The sequence below is a fragment of the Homo sapiens genome, chromosome 3 (genome assembly GCF_000001405.40).
Source record: "Homo sapiens chromosome 3, GRCh38.p14 Primary Assembly".
NCBI classification, from domain to species: domain Eukaryota; kingdom Metazoa; phylum Chordata; class Mammalia; order Primates; family Hominidae; genus Homo; species Homo sapiens.
Genome location: NC_000003.12, coordinates 192,358,315 through 192,374,093, shown reverse-complemented (window position 1 = coordinate 192,374,093; position 15,779 = coordinate 192,358,315). Strand labels below are relative to the sequence as shown.

General features: G+C 38.4%; 1 protein-coding gene across 7 annotated transcripts in view; it reads left to right on the top strand.

The window, feature by feature from the left end:
• FGF12 (fibroblast growth factor 12) overlaps positions 1 to 15,779 on the top strand; it is a 588,152-nt gene that overhangs the window by 353,448 nt on the left and 218,925 nt on the right. For 6 of the 7 annotated variants that reach the window (NM_001377293.1, NM_004113.6, XM_005247227.3 and 3 more), the window contains one exon: positions 13,556 to 13,666. The exons of the other annotated variant lie outside the window; for it this stretch is intronic. In NM_001377293.1, the coding sequence (NP_001364222.1) occupies positions 13,615 to 13,666 (52 nt within the window). In that variant the 5' untranslated portion in view covers positions 13,556 to 13,614. The remainder of the gene's footprint in view (positions 1 to 13,555; positions 13,667 to 15,779) is intronic. 7 annotated transcript variants of the gene reach the window in all.

Sequence of the window (15,779 nt, the reverse complement as noted above, 5' to 3'; positions counted from 1 at the left end):
CCCAAACGTGTGCCCTTTAAAAATTATTTGTTGACAAATCATGCCTTTTCTTAATACAATGTGTCACATGTAAATGGGAAACTGTTTTCAATTTTTAAAATAGGTTATAGGTGTTAAAGTCAAGCTGACCGTCTCCATAAGTTTGAGAGATTCCTTAGCTAGGGGTAGATCAATCCTTGCTGTATTGAATCCTGAAATATGCTTCTTGGAGTCGGCCATGAGAGAAGTAGGCTTTTGATCATGTCTACAGTCAGATCAGCCACCCTTGAAAGTATTGTCCTGGCACTTTGTCTGAAAACACTGGTTCATTTCTTTATTCATGAGATCTTAGCCTCTATGTCACAGTCCATCATTATCAGTCACAGTGGCAGTTCCCTGTATCTGTGTTTCACTTGTCCCTAAGAGCCTCCCAAAATGAATCTAAGTTATAGCACCCAACCCATGTTTACATATTTACAGTGTATGTGTTATCCACATTTGATAAATATTTTCAGTGCTCTTTTGTGTGATGTAATATCAAGTAATAAATTAATTGTATTAATATAGTTTGTCTAGATTATAATTTAACTGAAATTTTAATAATCTTCATTGATTTACAGTGGTAAAAGATATATCTATTAAAAATGTTTTCTCCATTTTTAATTCTAACTTATTAAAAATAGCTTGTAAGTATCTATCTTGACCTGAGAGTCCCTCAGGTTTCTGGGACCTAGACTTGGAGCCACGGAACTCTTCCAATACAGTCGTTTTATAGATGAAACCTGAAGCCCAGAGAGAAGAAACTAGGTCACTGAAAAAAAAAAAAAATGTTTGCTTCCTGTATGTTAATGGGCACTATGCTAAGAACTAGATATTCTGTAATAAATAAAAGTTACATGGCCTCACCCTCAGGGATGCTACAGTCTAGAGTGGGAAATAGATAATAAACAACAAAGAGAAATAGCTATCTAGTTACAAATTCGACTACGTGCAATGAAGGGAGGTGAAAAAAAAAACAGTGTGCTGCCAGATAATATCTGTACAAACGTGGCGGCAGATTTAGGTTGGAGGCCTAGACAAGACCTCTATGAAATTGTATTTATGCAGTGACTTGAATTTATTTCAGGAAGAAAATCAATCCAGGCAGAGGGAAATGCAGGTACAAAAATCCCTAGGTCTGAATAGAAAGAGGGCACATGTGCCTAGAGCTTAGTGAGCCAGGGAGAGAGTCAATTAAGATGATGATGAAACTGTGGGCAGGAGCCAGATGGTGCAAAGCTCTCCCGGCCATGCTAAGGGTCTGACGTTTTCTTGTAAATGAAATGGGAAGCTGTTAAAGAGTTTAAGCAGAAGAGTGACATGATCCAATTTATATTGTAAAATATTACCTTGACTGTAGTGTGGTTTGGAAGAGAAAGAGTGTTAGTGAGGAGGCTGTTAGTGGAATCTAGCCCAGAGCACTCGATGGCCTGAACAAAGGTGGAGGCAGTGCGGATGGAGAGAAGCAAACAATTGGAATTAGACCCCAAATGTCCGGATCCCACTGCCCTGCATATGCCCCTGCACCACGGTGCCTGAATTTACCAGGATCAAGGCTGATGGATGTGTTCTTGGAGCTCTCAACTGCTCTTTTGCCGAAAGTATTATTACACCACTAGAACTCACTCTGGTTGACTCTGCAAAGGCAAAGCATTGTGTGTGTGTGTGTGTGTGTGTGTGTGTGATGGTATGAAAAGATGATAGACAAAAGTCACATTTAACAACCATAATAATATACCTGAAGGTAATTTACATTTGGGCTGCATGAGGGAATTCCTCAGGCTTGCCAACCTGGATAAACAGATCTCTGATATCCAAGGCAGTTTCAGGACAAGTCCAACATTTGTGCAGCTCCCCTGATGTCAGGGAACTGTCATGCCTGTGCTCGCCCAAATAATGTGTCCTGTTCATTTATTTCTGGTGCCAAAAGATGTGTCTGTGAGAAAAGAGACTCACTGAGAAGATTTTTCTATGCCAAATGAGGATGCTTTTATTACAGAACACTTTCTGTGTGCATAGAAGTGTCTACAGCCCCGCCACTTTTTTTTGTGACAGGAGGCCAAAAGCTATGTCTGCAACTCCAGTTTAGTGTTTGCTTTTTATTCCTGGCCCCTGGCTTTATAGATTTCCACAGGGTTTGTGGGCTGATCACAGTTAAAGAAGTAGAGAGATGTATTAGCATGTTAGAGTTCTTCAAAAGACAACTGATGATTAACAATGAGGTGTAAAGCAAAAACCTTCCACCCTGGCTCTGGCATGGATTAACTCTGTAATTTAGCACTAGTGATTTCACCTCTGTAAGCCTCAGTTCCCTAATATAGATGTAAAAAAAAAAGCCCAATGATAGTACCTGCCTTAAATTATTTCAGTGAAAATTCAGAGATAATCCACATAAAGTGCCTGGCATTTGTTAACTGCTTGGCATTTCCTTTCTGTGAATGAACCTCAGGAGAATTTGCCCATTGCTACTGTTTAACTAACCGTGGATTTTCCTATCTACATTAATTCTGTCTGAAAGTTAAATCTACCATATAAGCGTGGCTTCCTAGTCATAGAGCACACTATAATGTGTCTTCCTAATTTCTTAGAACAAGCTTTAGTTCAGTGGGTCTTAGTTATCTAAACAATTTCACAAGAAGCAAAGTATGGCTATGCATGAAGAAATGAAATGGCTTTCTGGATACCATGCAGCTCGTTTGGGATAAGATCAGGAAACCTCTGGGAGGCACAGAACTGGAAGATCCTGGTATATTAAAGAGCTCTGACTCCAGGGATTGGAAGATGTGCTGCCACGCGACTTTCCCCTCTCCCTGGTGTTTTGTTTCTTCATATGTAACATGAGCTTTGAATTAGATTATCCTGAATGGCTTGTCTGGCTCTGAAATCTTAAGATTTTAGGATTATCTTCATGTTTGAAGTGTCTTGTGGTCGGCATTCTCCAGCAATCATTTTTGAGCTGCCTGGAAAGCCATGTTCATTCCAGGTCTACTTCTCTGGGTGATCATTTGAGAAAGACCAGGGAGTTGTAACCCAGTGAGGTTGACCAGTGTCAAACTCCCCTCCATGAACAGAGATTCTTAAAAGGCAAGAAGGTATTTGGCTTCATGGGAATGCCTGCGTTAAGCTTTCTTCACCCACACTTTCATTAATATTCTACATTTAAATAGTGCTCCCTTAGGAAGATGACGATTGATTCGGATTCGGATTTGGGATTTGGATTTACAACTGAAATGAGACTTTCATTCTTAAGGTGGCTGAAACGTTAGCACACCAAGCACAGTCAGTCCTCTGGCTGACAGCTTTTTCCATCCCCATTGCCACTGCCTATCTAAGGTCCTTCTTATATGGAATAGCTCCCTAACTGGCTCCCATAACCACAGTATCCTTTGACTTTGTAAAATACTACCCTCATAATTTTAGCCCCAGACTTAAAATCCTTCCAAATTTTCCCATTGCTTAATGCATTGGCCTCTGAAGCATGTGGGGCATGACAGCCATTGGCTATGAAAAAAAACTATTACAACTTTTTTTTAGATACAGGTTCTCACTCTGTCTCCCAGGCTGGAGTATAGTGATGCAATCATAGCTCACTGCAGCCTTGAACTTCTGGGATCAAGCAATCCTCCCACCTCAGCCTCCCCAGCAGCTAGGACTGCGGGTGTGCACCACCATGCCTGGCAATTACAACTTTTGTTTGTGTTTTTCATTGATCTCATTTTAAAATTCCTATTTTGTGTTATATTATACACAAAATTTACAGAGTGGCACATACACGTGGCATAAATTATACATGTACATATATGAAGGCTGTAGATTTAAAATATTTTACTGATAGAGATGTATAATTAGAAAAGTTTGGACATCATTGACTTAAAGAATAAAGTAAAACTTGTTATTAGCTTTGCTTAAAGATCCTCAAGTGTCCTGGACCCTGCTTCTTTTCTGCTGTCGCCTCCAGCCCCTGCATGCACCCCCATATTTCCTTCACCCTGACCACACCCAGCTACATACCTGGTCCCTGCACATGCTAAGCACATGCATCTGTCTGTGCCCTTGCTCCTGCTGGTGCTGCTCAAAGCAAAATCCTCCTGCCTATTCTAGGCTAACTATAAAGTGGTACTTCATCTTTAAAGCTTTTTTCAACTGTTTCTTGTCCCAGAACCTGCCATCCCAGGTAAAATTAGCATCCCCATTCTGTGATTCCGTGGCATTTTATTTGTTCATTTATGACAGCACTTTAAATGTTCACGGAAATAATGATTAGTTGTGTATGTGTCTCCTTGATCAGGCCGTGGGTGCCTTCAAGGCAGGAATTGCATCTTACTCATCTTTGTACCCAGCACCTAGTGCATGTTGGAAGTCAATAAATGGTGCTGGAACTATTTTAAATTTTCATGAGCATATTACAAAGAAGAATCTAGGAGGAAGGGGGCTAATGCTATGAGGAATAAAACTGGCTCAGTACAAAAACCTTGTCCCTATTGGCATTTCACATCTTAGCTCAGTTTTCCTGCCCTCCGTCTCATGTCTTCTACAGCTCAGACTGCTTTGGTGAAGAGGAAACTCCAAAAATGAAGGTTATTTTCTTTCCATGTAGCTTTGAGACAATATGAAGATTGAGGATTGCCTGTCTCAAGGTCATTCGATTCCTGTTGAAATGTGAGGCAACTCAGGGCTTTGGAGACTGTGCAGTTTATGGAGGAGGCTGCTGTGCTTGTCAGACTGTGTTCAGTGTGCAGGACAAAATTGGAAGAAACGCATTAGAGGCCAGAGGCATTATATTCAAAGGCTATAAGCAGCTCTTTGTACAAATGAGAAGCTCCTTTGAAAGTCACAGGTGACAAAGGAAAATGCCAGGTATATCTTATTACTTTCATTCCTTCAGCATACAAACACTCCTCATCTACCTTGTGCCTGGCACTGTGTTAGGTGCTGGGATAGAGTTGATGAATAAGGTCTCTGCCCTGAGAGGTTCATAGTTCAGCAGCAGAGACAGGGGTGTAAACAAGCACCTCTAAAATAGTGCACAGCTCTCCTAACCTATGCACAATGGAGCTTTGAAGAGGAAGTGATTAATTTTGCCTCAGGGTGTCAGGGAAGACCCTGTGGAAGAAAGCTGTGCTTAGAAGGCTCTGGAGGACCCCTGGGCAGAGGAGGAAGGCAGGGGTTGTGCTTTTCAGGCAGAGGTGTCTACAGAAGCAAGAGAAAGCAAGTAGAGAAAGGGCTGGCAGACTTTCTCATTAAAGGGTCTGTTAGTAAAGATTTCAGTCTTTGCAGGATATAGGGTATCTGTTGCAACTACTTACCTTTGTTGTTGTAGCATGAAAGCAGAGGCAATGCATGAGTGAATGGGCATGGTCATGCTCTAATACTGTTCAGATTAAATGAGCAAGAAAATGAAAAAAAAAACTTTATTAACAAAATTGGCAGCCACAGGGCTATAGTTTGTGGACTCTTGGCATAGAGGAAGGATCTTCAGAGAGCCTCTAATCTGTTGGTTATTAATCTTTACCATTATTAGGATTGCTTTATACTTGCTGCTCCCTGCTCCTGGAATGTATTTCTGTTAGATATCCTTAATGGTTTCCTTCCTCTCTTTCTTTAGGCTTCTGTGATGTTATCTTCTATTCGTTCTGTCCACAATAGCACATCCATCCCTTGCATGCTCTATCCTTTTATATTGCTTTAATTTTTATCATAGCACTTATACTAACATTTTATTATATACTTTATTGTTTACATGTTTATTTTCCATCTTCCTACTAGAATGCACGCTTTATGTTTTATCCTCAGTTATATTCATTGGTGAGCTGGAGCTGATGGTGCTCACCTCTTTCCAGCTTCACATCTATGTTCAGTGATGTCAAGTAGTAGTTTTAAAGCAGTCATAGTTGAAGTAGTTGCACTGTGGAAATCATCCCATGAAAGTCTGGTTTTGGATTTTCTTTTCTGCTCTGTTTTTTTTTGGAAGGGGAGGGAGGTGGGGGAGAGTTGATTTACTAGCATGCACCGATTATCCCTTTTGCCCAGAAGAATAACTGTCACAAAGGCTGTTGCTCAATAAATATTCATTTTTAAAAAATAAAACGTGCCATTAGTATCTATTGATAACTGAAATAGAATGCACTTAGTTACAGAATCCTCTTGGAATATCAGCACTTTTGGGGTTGATTCACGGCCCTCAGCAAGGTAGCTGCTGATGGTGTCTCTCGTCTTCATTTGACCAATGGGGAGATCGAAGATGAGGGACAGGACATGACTCACTTTACTCCACAGAGCAGATTCTGCCAGGCTAGAGTGACACGTCTTCAGCCTTATCCTTTCAGTTCTGGAAGGTGTTCCTCCAGGTCTGTTCACTGCAGTCTGTTGAGTGAATGAGGGGCCTCAGGCCTGCTTCTCCTTTACTAAATAGCATATATTTTTACTGAATCCCCATAGATCAGTAGAGTTGCAATTTTTCAGTGTGTTCAAAAGTCCAGGTAAGTTCTGTCCCTTTTCAAATGCTTACTGTAGCTCATTTCTGATTTGCCTGGGACTTTGGTTTATGGTATGTAAATATGCCCTAGTCTATACCCTTTAGTTATGATTGGTCAGAAATGTATTTGCTTATGAACATTTTCTAACCCTAATAGTCTAATTTTGAAGTCTGCATCAATGTAATGCCCCCGAAGCCCTTGACAAGAATCACATTTAACAGCTTCTTCAATCTCATTTCCCTTAAGTGGACAACATTAAATGTTAATACAGAAGGCACATTTGTAAACCCAAAGAGGCTGATTAAAAGAACCCGTCAAACTACTCCACAATCTATGTTTAACATTTATAAAGAAGGTTGCATTTTCTGGATGCCTGGTAAACAGTCTTTTTAATTCCCTGTCTTAAGCACCGACTAAGGAAACAGAAAAGTGAAATTGTATTTAGTGGACCATCTGGCTTATCTCAAAGCTTTCCAGGACATCAGGGTTAGAAAAGACCTTTCATTCTCACTCAGAGTGTCTCCGCCTTTGGAGACGTCCACGTCCTTCACAGCTGCTCTGACCTGTAGTTTTTCTGCTTCTTTCTGGTTATGTCCAGTGATAGAAAACTCACTCTTTCCTTAGGCGACCTGTTCTGTCTTTGAATACAATAAACAGAAAGTTCTTTTTAATCTGCATATTCCTGTAACTTTCACCCATTGGCCCTAGGTCTATCTCTGTGGAGCCACTCAGAACAAATTGGCTGCTTCTTATTTCTTTGGATTTTCAAGAACGTGGAGACAGCTCTCCAAATCCTCCCTCTTCTAGGCTCTCACATCCCTCCAAATGCTTCCTTTTCTAGGCTGCACGGCCACTGTTAATTCAGCCATTCTTCATATGACAGTCATTTATACCCTCTTTATTTGGCTCCTTTCCTCTGGACAGGTTCCTGTTTTGCCAGTACTCTTTTAAAGTGACTGAACAGTACTAGGGAGTGGCTGTGACTTTGGGTCAAAGTGGTGCAGCTTCCTTGAATCTCAACAAAAAATGAAAAATGAGAAAAGAGTACCTCATACAGTTAGTTGTTATGCATAATAAATAAAACAACAGTAAAAGTATCAGAAGTGTGCCTGCCACGAAGGAGATGGGTTCAATATACAGCCATTGTTATCAAAAGTACTATTAATTCTCTAGATATGGCCCCCATTACATAATTTTCATTATTGTTATAATAGTTTTCATTTTAGATTGGAGTTTATATGCAGAACCTTTCTCTAAAGTTTGGGTATATGTGAATACGCTGGCCCTAGAAGATTTTAGTATCAAAGGTTATATAGATACATATTTCTTGCACAATTTTCTGTAACTGCTTTTCTATCAACACGTACTTTAATAACTGATTCACAGCTAGATACTCTCCCCTCCTTATTCTCTCCTCTCTTCTCCCTTCTTGCTCCCCAACCCTCAGTTTTGGTAAGGTAAGGATTTTGCTCTTTGGAAAGGAAAGGATGATGTCCATTCAGTATATAGGAGCTGAGTTCTTGTCTGAACTCATCAGTGTGTTAGCTGTGTGACCTTGGATAAGACACTGTCTCTCCGAGCCAGAGTTTTGTTTTTTGTTGTTGTTTTTTTTTTTTTTTTTTTACCTTTGAAGCTAATGAAGTAAAGTGTCGATCCTTTCCACGTCTAAAATTCATCCTATTTCCTGTAATTGAATATTCATCCTGAGATTTCTGACCAGGACCCCTTGGCTCTGTCTCTGTTCTGGGTTTCCATCGTGTACCTAGGAAATACTTCATAGCACTAGATGGACTGTCAAGCCGGCAGGAACGTCTAGATAGCTCCAGCATGTGTCAGCTTTTCTGAGTGGCTCTGAATTCAAACGTTCTGCTGAAATTGCCATGTCATCCTGATGGGAAGCAGTATTGAACCCGAGGTCCCATCCTTTACCTTCCTTGTCACTCAGCCTCTTTGAGGAAAACATTTATTACTTGCTTTTTTAGCTGTACTTAGTATTTTTAATATAATTATTATCTTAGAATTTTTTTTAATTTATAGAGATGTGAAGATAGTACAGAGTTCTCATATACCCTATATCCAATTTCCCATAGTAACAGCTTACATTAATGTACAATATTTGTCACAATGAAGAATCTATATCATTACAGTATGTTTAACTAAAATCCATACTTTATTCAGATTTCCTTCATTTTTACATAATGTTCTTTTTCAGCTCTAGGATCTCATTCAGAATACCCCATTACATTTAGTTGTTATGTCTTTTTAGACTCCTTTTATCTATGACTTTTTCCTAGACATTCGTTTTCTTCAATGACATTGATAGTTTTTTTTTTTTTTAATTTTTTACTTTTAACTTGTATGGGTACATGGTGGGTGTATATATTTGTAGGGTACAAGTGATATTTCGAAACGGGCCTATGATGCATAGTAATCACATCAAGGCAAATAGGTTATCTCTCACCTCAAGCATTTATCCCTTCTTTGTGTGATGAACAATCCATTTTGAGGAGTACTGGTCAAGTATTTTGTAGAACATTATTTAACGGGCATTTGTCTAATTTTTTTTTCTCATGAATAGACTGGGGTTGTGGGTTTTTTGGAGGAAGATCACAGAGGTAAAGTGCTATTCTCATCACATAATCTCAAGAGAACATACTATCAGCATGTTTTATAATTGATGATATTAGCCTTGATTGCCTGACTGAGGTAGTGCTTTGTTTGTTAGGTTTCTCCACCATAATATTACTCTCTCCTTCCCTTTGCATACTGTATGTTTTGGAAGGAAGTCCAAAGCCCATTATGCACAGCCAATGGAAGTTTATTTCTTATTCAGTTCACGGTCCAAGGTAGGTATTTCAATGGCAGTCATCTTTCCTTTACCTGTTATTCAGGGACCCAACATTCTTCCATTCTGTTGTTTCTATAGCCCCTAGGGCTATGTTATCTTAATCTGGCCGGTGTTAAGGAAAAGAGAGTGTGGAGGAGAATGTTTGCTTTTAAAAACCTTGGCCTGAAAATGGCACACATCACTTCCACTTACATTCCATATGACACTCATTCATCTGCCAAACCTAACTGCAAGGGAGGCTAGGACATATGGTCTAGCTGGGTGCCCAGAAAAAAGAGGAAATGGATTTCAGTGAAATGCTTGCAGTATTTGCCACACCACTTTAGAGCACAAAAGGGAGCAAACCAACCCTTCCTCCCCTACCATCTAATAATATAGTCATCATTTCATTAAGAAAAAGAAAAACAGTAATGGAAGAGCATAATTTTAAAATCAAGGAGTCATATAAACTGGAAAATATTAGCTTCATAGAAAACCTATTCCATTGACCCTATTTGTCTTAGTGTCACTGTTGTGCTAGAACATTTGTTGAGAACAGGTACTTACTTGTATGTCTGCATTTGAGAACCCTTTTCTCTATTCTGTCTATACCAGGCTGCATCATTCCCAGAGTTGTGATGTTTTGTGTGGAATGCCCTTTCTCTGGTTTCCTTGCCTATGGCAATCCTACTCATTCTTTAAGTGACAGATGAAGTGCCTTATCCCAACCTTCAGGCAGAACTGGTCCCTTGCTCCTTGGTGACATCACATCACTGTGATTCACTTCCTTATTTATCAGCTCTCCCACACTGGTATTATACACAAATATGTTTCATGCATTAGACTGGGTGCTCCCTGAGGACAGCAAAGGTTTTCGTTTTCTTCATATCTTGGGTCCCCAAGCATAGTCTGATAAATAAACGTGTGTTAGTTGAATGTACCCAGGATGCTGGATATGCTGAAAAGTGGTCTCATTTTATACCTCCTTTCTTTAAAATAGAGCAAAACATGTTCTGGTTTTCCTCATCGTAAAGGAGATTCTCACTTACGATAGCTGAGTCTTCATGGAGAAGGTGATGTTGAGCTGAACCTGGAAAGGTTGGTAGGACTTGATCGATGGTAATAGACATACAAGATGCCACTCAGGCTACACAGCTTTCTGTGCCCCATCTATATTATATATGTTCAGGGTATTTTTTTCAATAGATGATCAAGTCTCCTTTGAAACTTCTGTAATGCAGGATGTTCATTTTCACATATCACAACATGATTAAAACGCAGACTCTGGGCCTGTTCTGGCACTGCTCTCAGAGATGGGTGCTCAGAGTCTGATGCTCATTATCCTGAGCAGGAGTTACCAACCCGAATTCCCAGGGCTCCAACAGGGGATGGCTCCACCAGGGCAAAAGAAGTGTTTAATTACAGGTACAGAAAGAGGAGCACAAAGAAAACAAACAATCATTCACAGGCTTTAACGACTAAACTGGCATGCATCTCATTACCAATAAAAACATGACTTCTTTTTTTTTTTTTAATTATACTTTAAGTTTTAGGGTACATGTGCACAACTTGCAGGTTTGTTACATATGTATACATGTGCCATGTTGGTGTGCTGCACCCATTAACTCGTCATTTACATTAGATATATCTCCTAATGCTATCCCTCCCCCCTCCCCCTACCCCACAACAGGCCCCGGTGTGTGATGTTCGCCTTCCTGTGTCCAAGTGTTCTCATTGTTCAATTCCCACTTATGAGTGAGAACATGTGGTGACTTCTTAAAGTGACTTTATCAAGCTTATTAGAAATACAGTGTGAATTGTAAGACAGTTGCCCTCTTCCTCCCCTCTATTGTTTTATATCCTGTACTTTTAGCCCACTGTTTACTTTAGTGGCTTTACAAGCTCAGTTAATATTTACTAAAGCAGAAGCTGGAGACATACTCTTTTCTCAGAATGCTTCTTTTACCTCCCTTATACCGTGTCCTTGATTTTCATAGTTGAAACATTAGACTTTAATTAGGATGTATATTTTATGGGTTTTCTAGTTTGTACTCTGTCACTATTCATTTGAAATTTGCAAGGATTATAGAGTAGGACTTTTTAAAAATCTTACTATATAGATACAAAAACTTGAAACTCAGATGTTAGATGAGTTGATCGGGGCCACACAGCATTTGAGGTTCAAATCTATAGGTGAGTCTACCACATCAGAAGCTGCCTGTCAGCCAGGTAGCCAAAGGCAGAGGCACACAGAGAGTTGTTTACAGCAAGGACAGAAAACCAAACACTGCGTGTTCTCACTCATAGGTGGGAATTGAACAATGAGAACATTTGGACACAGGGCGGAGAACATCACACACCTGGGACTGTCGTGGGGTGGAGGGGTGGGGGAGGGATAGCATTAGGAGAAATACCTAATGTAAATGACGAGTTAATGGGTGCAGCCAACCAGCATGGCACATGTATACATATGTAACAAACTTGCACGTTGTGCTCATGTACCCTAGAACTAAAAGTATAATTTTAAAAAAAAGAGAGAGTTGTTTGCAGTGACGTTAGCTAGCCAAGTGTGTCCCTGACTTGTCCATAGTTGTGGGATTAGATGAGCCTATGGAGGAAATGCATTGAAGACAAATCCATTCTTCTATTTCTGACACCATTCAAGGCAGAGGATTCTAATGTGCTCAAAGTGAATAGAGACTCATATGAAGGAACAAACAACCATTCAGCTTAACTTCCAGATTTTTATTGATGAGGACATTGAGGTTCACAAATTTAAAAAACGGAATTTATTTAACTCATAAAGATAATACATATCTATTAATTAGAATACCTAATTTCCAGTTCAGTTCTTTGCTCATTAGTCTGCTTCCTCATTCCCAATTTTCTTGACATCTCTTTTGCTTTGTAGGACTGCTTTGAAAAAGATGTGTTGATAGAGGCATTGCCCCATATTCCCAAATAATGTGAATGTGATCAAGTCACATGTGCAAAAGTCCCAACTGCAGACACTTGTTATAGGGTGTAGGCCAATTCTCAAAGAATTAATCACATTAAATGCTTAACTAGAATTCTTTTAGACCTAAATATCAATAATGCATTCAGTGTAACACACAGTGCCTGCCATATTGCTTGGCAGAAAAAAGACATTCTTGGTAAACATTAGTTGAATAAATGGATGAAGGATGAAGTTGACTAGCTTAAATTCAGCGATTGTCCTTCTGAGGATACCATGTTGTTACTTCAGCAATCATATGATTTCCATCTTTGCCTCCATTTTTATCACCAGAAGCAGCATTTTTCTTTTTCTCCTCATTTTAATGAAATAATTAGAGCTATAAGGGCACTAGAATACTTCATTTTTGCTCAACAATAGAGACAAAAATGGTGATGCGGTGGAAACTAGATTGTTGCTGGCAGCCAGCACTGCGATGAGAAAGCTTTAAATATTTATATTAGCTGATGCACAAAAATTCAAATGTGTTATACAAAGGTTAGTTTGAAAGTATTTGTGTTTAGAGGGTTTTTAAAAGTTGAGCAATTCTGGTTTGAAATACTTAGATAAATATGTATGACTTGATTTTTTTTTTTTTTTTTTTTTTTGTACTGGAGAAATGAACTTTGGAACACTGAGGCTCCTCTCTGATGAAGTATTTAGTGAAGGTGAAATTTGCGTTTCCACATATTTGCCAGTGACATCTCATGGCCGTGGAAGTTTTTGCTGTTGCCTGTGGTTCTTCTCCAAACTATTCTTTCTGGCTGAACTTGATCACAAATTCAAAACCCAGGAACTTCTGATGGAGAGCTGACATCCTGCAGAGATAGAAGTCTTATGGACCTGGTTATGGCTACTAGAAACTTAGAAATTACAGAGGCATTTTGGCCTAAACAATAATTCTGGAATGGGACTATAAAGTTGGTGAAATCTTGCAGTCAGACACCAGATGCACAAAGGAGGAAAATAACTCACTTTTTAGCATGTCTCTGTATTTTCCCAATCATAATTAGCTTTTATTTATTTGCATTTAGTTTACTGCTAAAAGTGTTAAAGCTCTACCTCTAAATGGAAAAAAAAAAGCATAGATATGTTACTGAAACACCCAACTCCCAAATACATAATTCAATATTTAAGCTATTGGCATTTACGTATTTACTTACAGGATGTTTTTAACAATCTGTAAGTGTGCATTTGTGTAAGCCAAATAAAAATTTGAATAATTATTTTGTTTTGCAGAACCCCAGCTCAAAGGGATTGTGACAAGGTTATTCAGCCAGCAGGGATACTTCCTGCAGATGCACCCAGATGGTACCATTGATGGGACCAAGGACGAAAACAGCGACTACAGTAAGAAACATTAGCTTCTTACAATCTGATTACAAATCAAATGTAGGGCCCAGTGTATCTTATACTTAAAGCATTGCTAAGCTGCCTTACCAAACTATGCCTTTCAAACTATTTAACTATTAGTAAGCTAGTGTCTTTTCCTTTATCCTTCTTGCTATGATTTCCTACAGCAAAGACAGTATAGGAGAGAGGTTATGCACTTAAGAGAAGGTAAGAGGCTTGTCCATTTGGTCAATGGGCAAGAATATACTCCCATCACAGTGTTTTTAGGCAGCATGATGATACACACTCCTAGGAACAATACAAGCACATCTTCCAACACAAGATGGTATTTAAATCCCGGAACCAAGTGATGAACAAGTTATAGTTCAATAATGAACAAGTTCTATATTTCTTAGAACACAATTTCTGACAGACAAAAATTACCTCTTAAGGTAAACACTGAGTACATGCATATATGTGTATGTATATATATATATATGTTATTTTATGTTAAAGGCAAAATTGCTGATTTTAAAAGGAAAATATATTTAAATATTATAATTACATATGGTACATATAATAAATATATATAATAGTAAGAAGATAATGAAGACTGATAGACCTGAAATGGAATTTAAAAATTTTGGGGGGGGAAATAAAAATGCTGGGCATTCAAAGATTAATAATAATTTCTCTGGATATAGTTTTTAAGTGCTCTAACTTTAGAGTTGACAAGTTAAAAAATTAAATGCAATCATCACGGTATGACAAAATGAATTTGCAGTCTAGAAAAATGTCAAATACAAGCTCCAGAGGCAAGATTGATAGCTGTCATATCTTTCAAATTCTGCATAATCATATACAGATACCTGAGGGCAAATTCATGTCATTCTAAAATTATGTATGGTGCCATATTGTTTCCTAATGTTTGTCTGTCTTCACTGCTAGATCTTTAGTGTTGAGCACACAATAAATGCTCACTGATATCTGTCCCAACAAGTTGTGATTCTGATGGATGTAATTTTGTGATCAGGCTGATAATCTACCAAACTGCATAAAGTAATTTAGGAAGCTAGATATTTTGTAGTGAAACGTCTTTTAAATTATTAAGAACTATTTGAGGAAAAATTTAAAATCCCTAATGAATGAAAATGCCCTTGTCCACCCTTTCTAAGTTATTCTTTGTTCAGTTAATATTACACATTTAAAATATAATTTACAATAAATAAAAGATCTTATTATAAAGAATTTCATTTCAGTTTTCTTGCTCTCAGATTTTTTGCTAAGTTGTTGATTGGCTGATTTTGGTTTGCATTGTTGGCTTGTGTTTTTGTGAAAGCATTCTTTAAATGATTAAAGCTTTCAACTCAGTGTAGAAGAATCAGGATACTTTTCTCTCCATGTACTTTCATTTATTGCGTCTGTAACTGAATGTCGATTTAGTGAGGCTACAAATATAGATGCAAGAACCAGGGAACCACTTATTTGTGTCACTTATCTGCACTAACTCCAAGATATTACTAGTTCTCAGGTTTAATTTCTATAAAATCTAATGGCTGGAGATGGTGATGATATATCAACATCCCTGTCAGCATCGTCCATCTAACTTTAAAAAAAATTGAAAAATTATAAATTGATGAAGATAGAATCAATCCCCAAGTAAGACGATTAGCCATATTCAATCTACAAAATGCTACCTTTACCCAGCCAACTATCTTGCAAATGCATGACATTTATCATGGGGCAGAGACAGAAGGGTAGAAGTGCAAGTGTGGGGTCAAGCTAGGACAAATCCTTCCTTCACTCTTTCTAGGAAAATAATTGACAACGCTTGCTCTGCTGACGCTGGGTGAACTGCTAGTGTAAATCTACACCCACGTGTACATTTGTACCTTCCTCCATGCATATATATATCTTAGCATAATGTCATTCTGCATACCACACACAAACCCACATACACACACACACACACCATAGGGCACACATTGTGTCAAATAAGTACTTTTAAAAATTCTCTGAACTCCCAAATTTAAACTAATATTTTATTAAGATAAACTATCTTAATATTTTATTAAGATAAATTTAATAAATTGTGTTTAAAATCATTTAGGTGTACAAAATATATAGATTA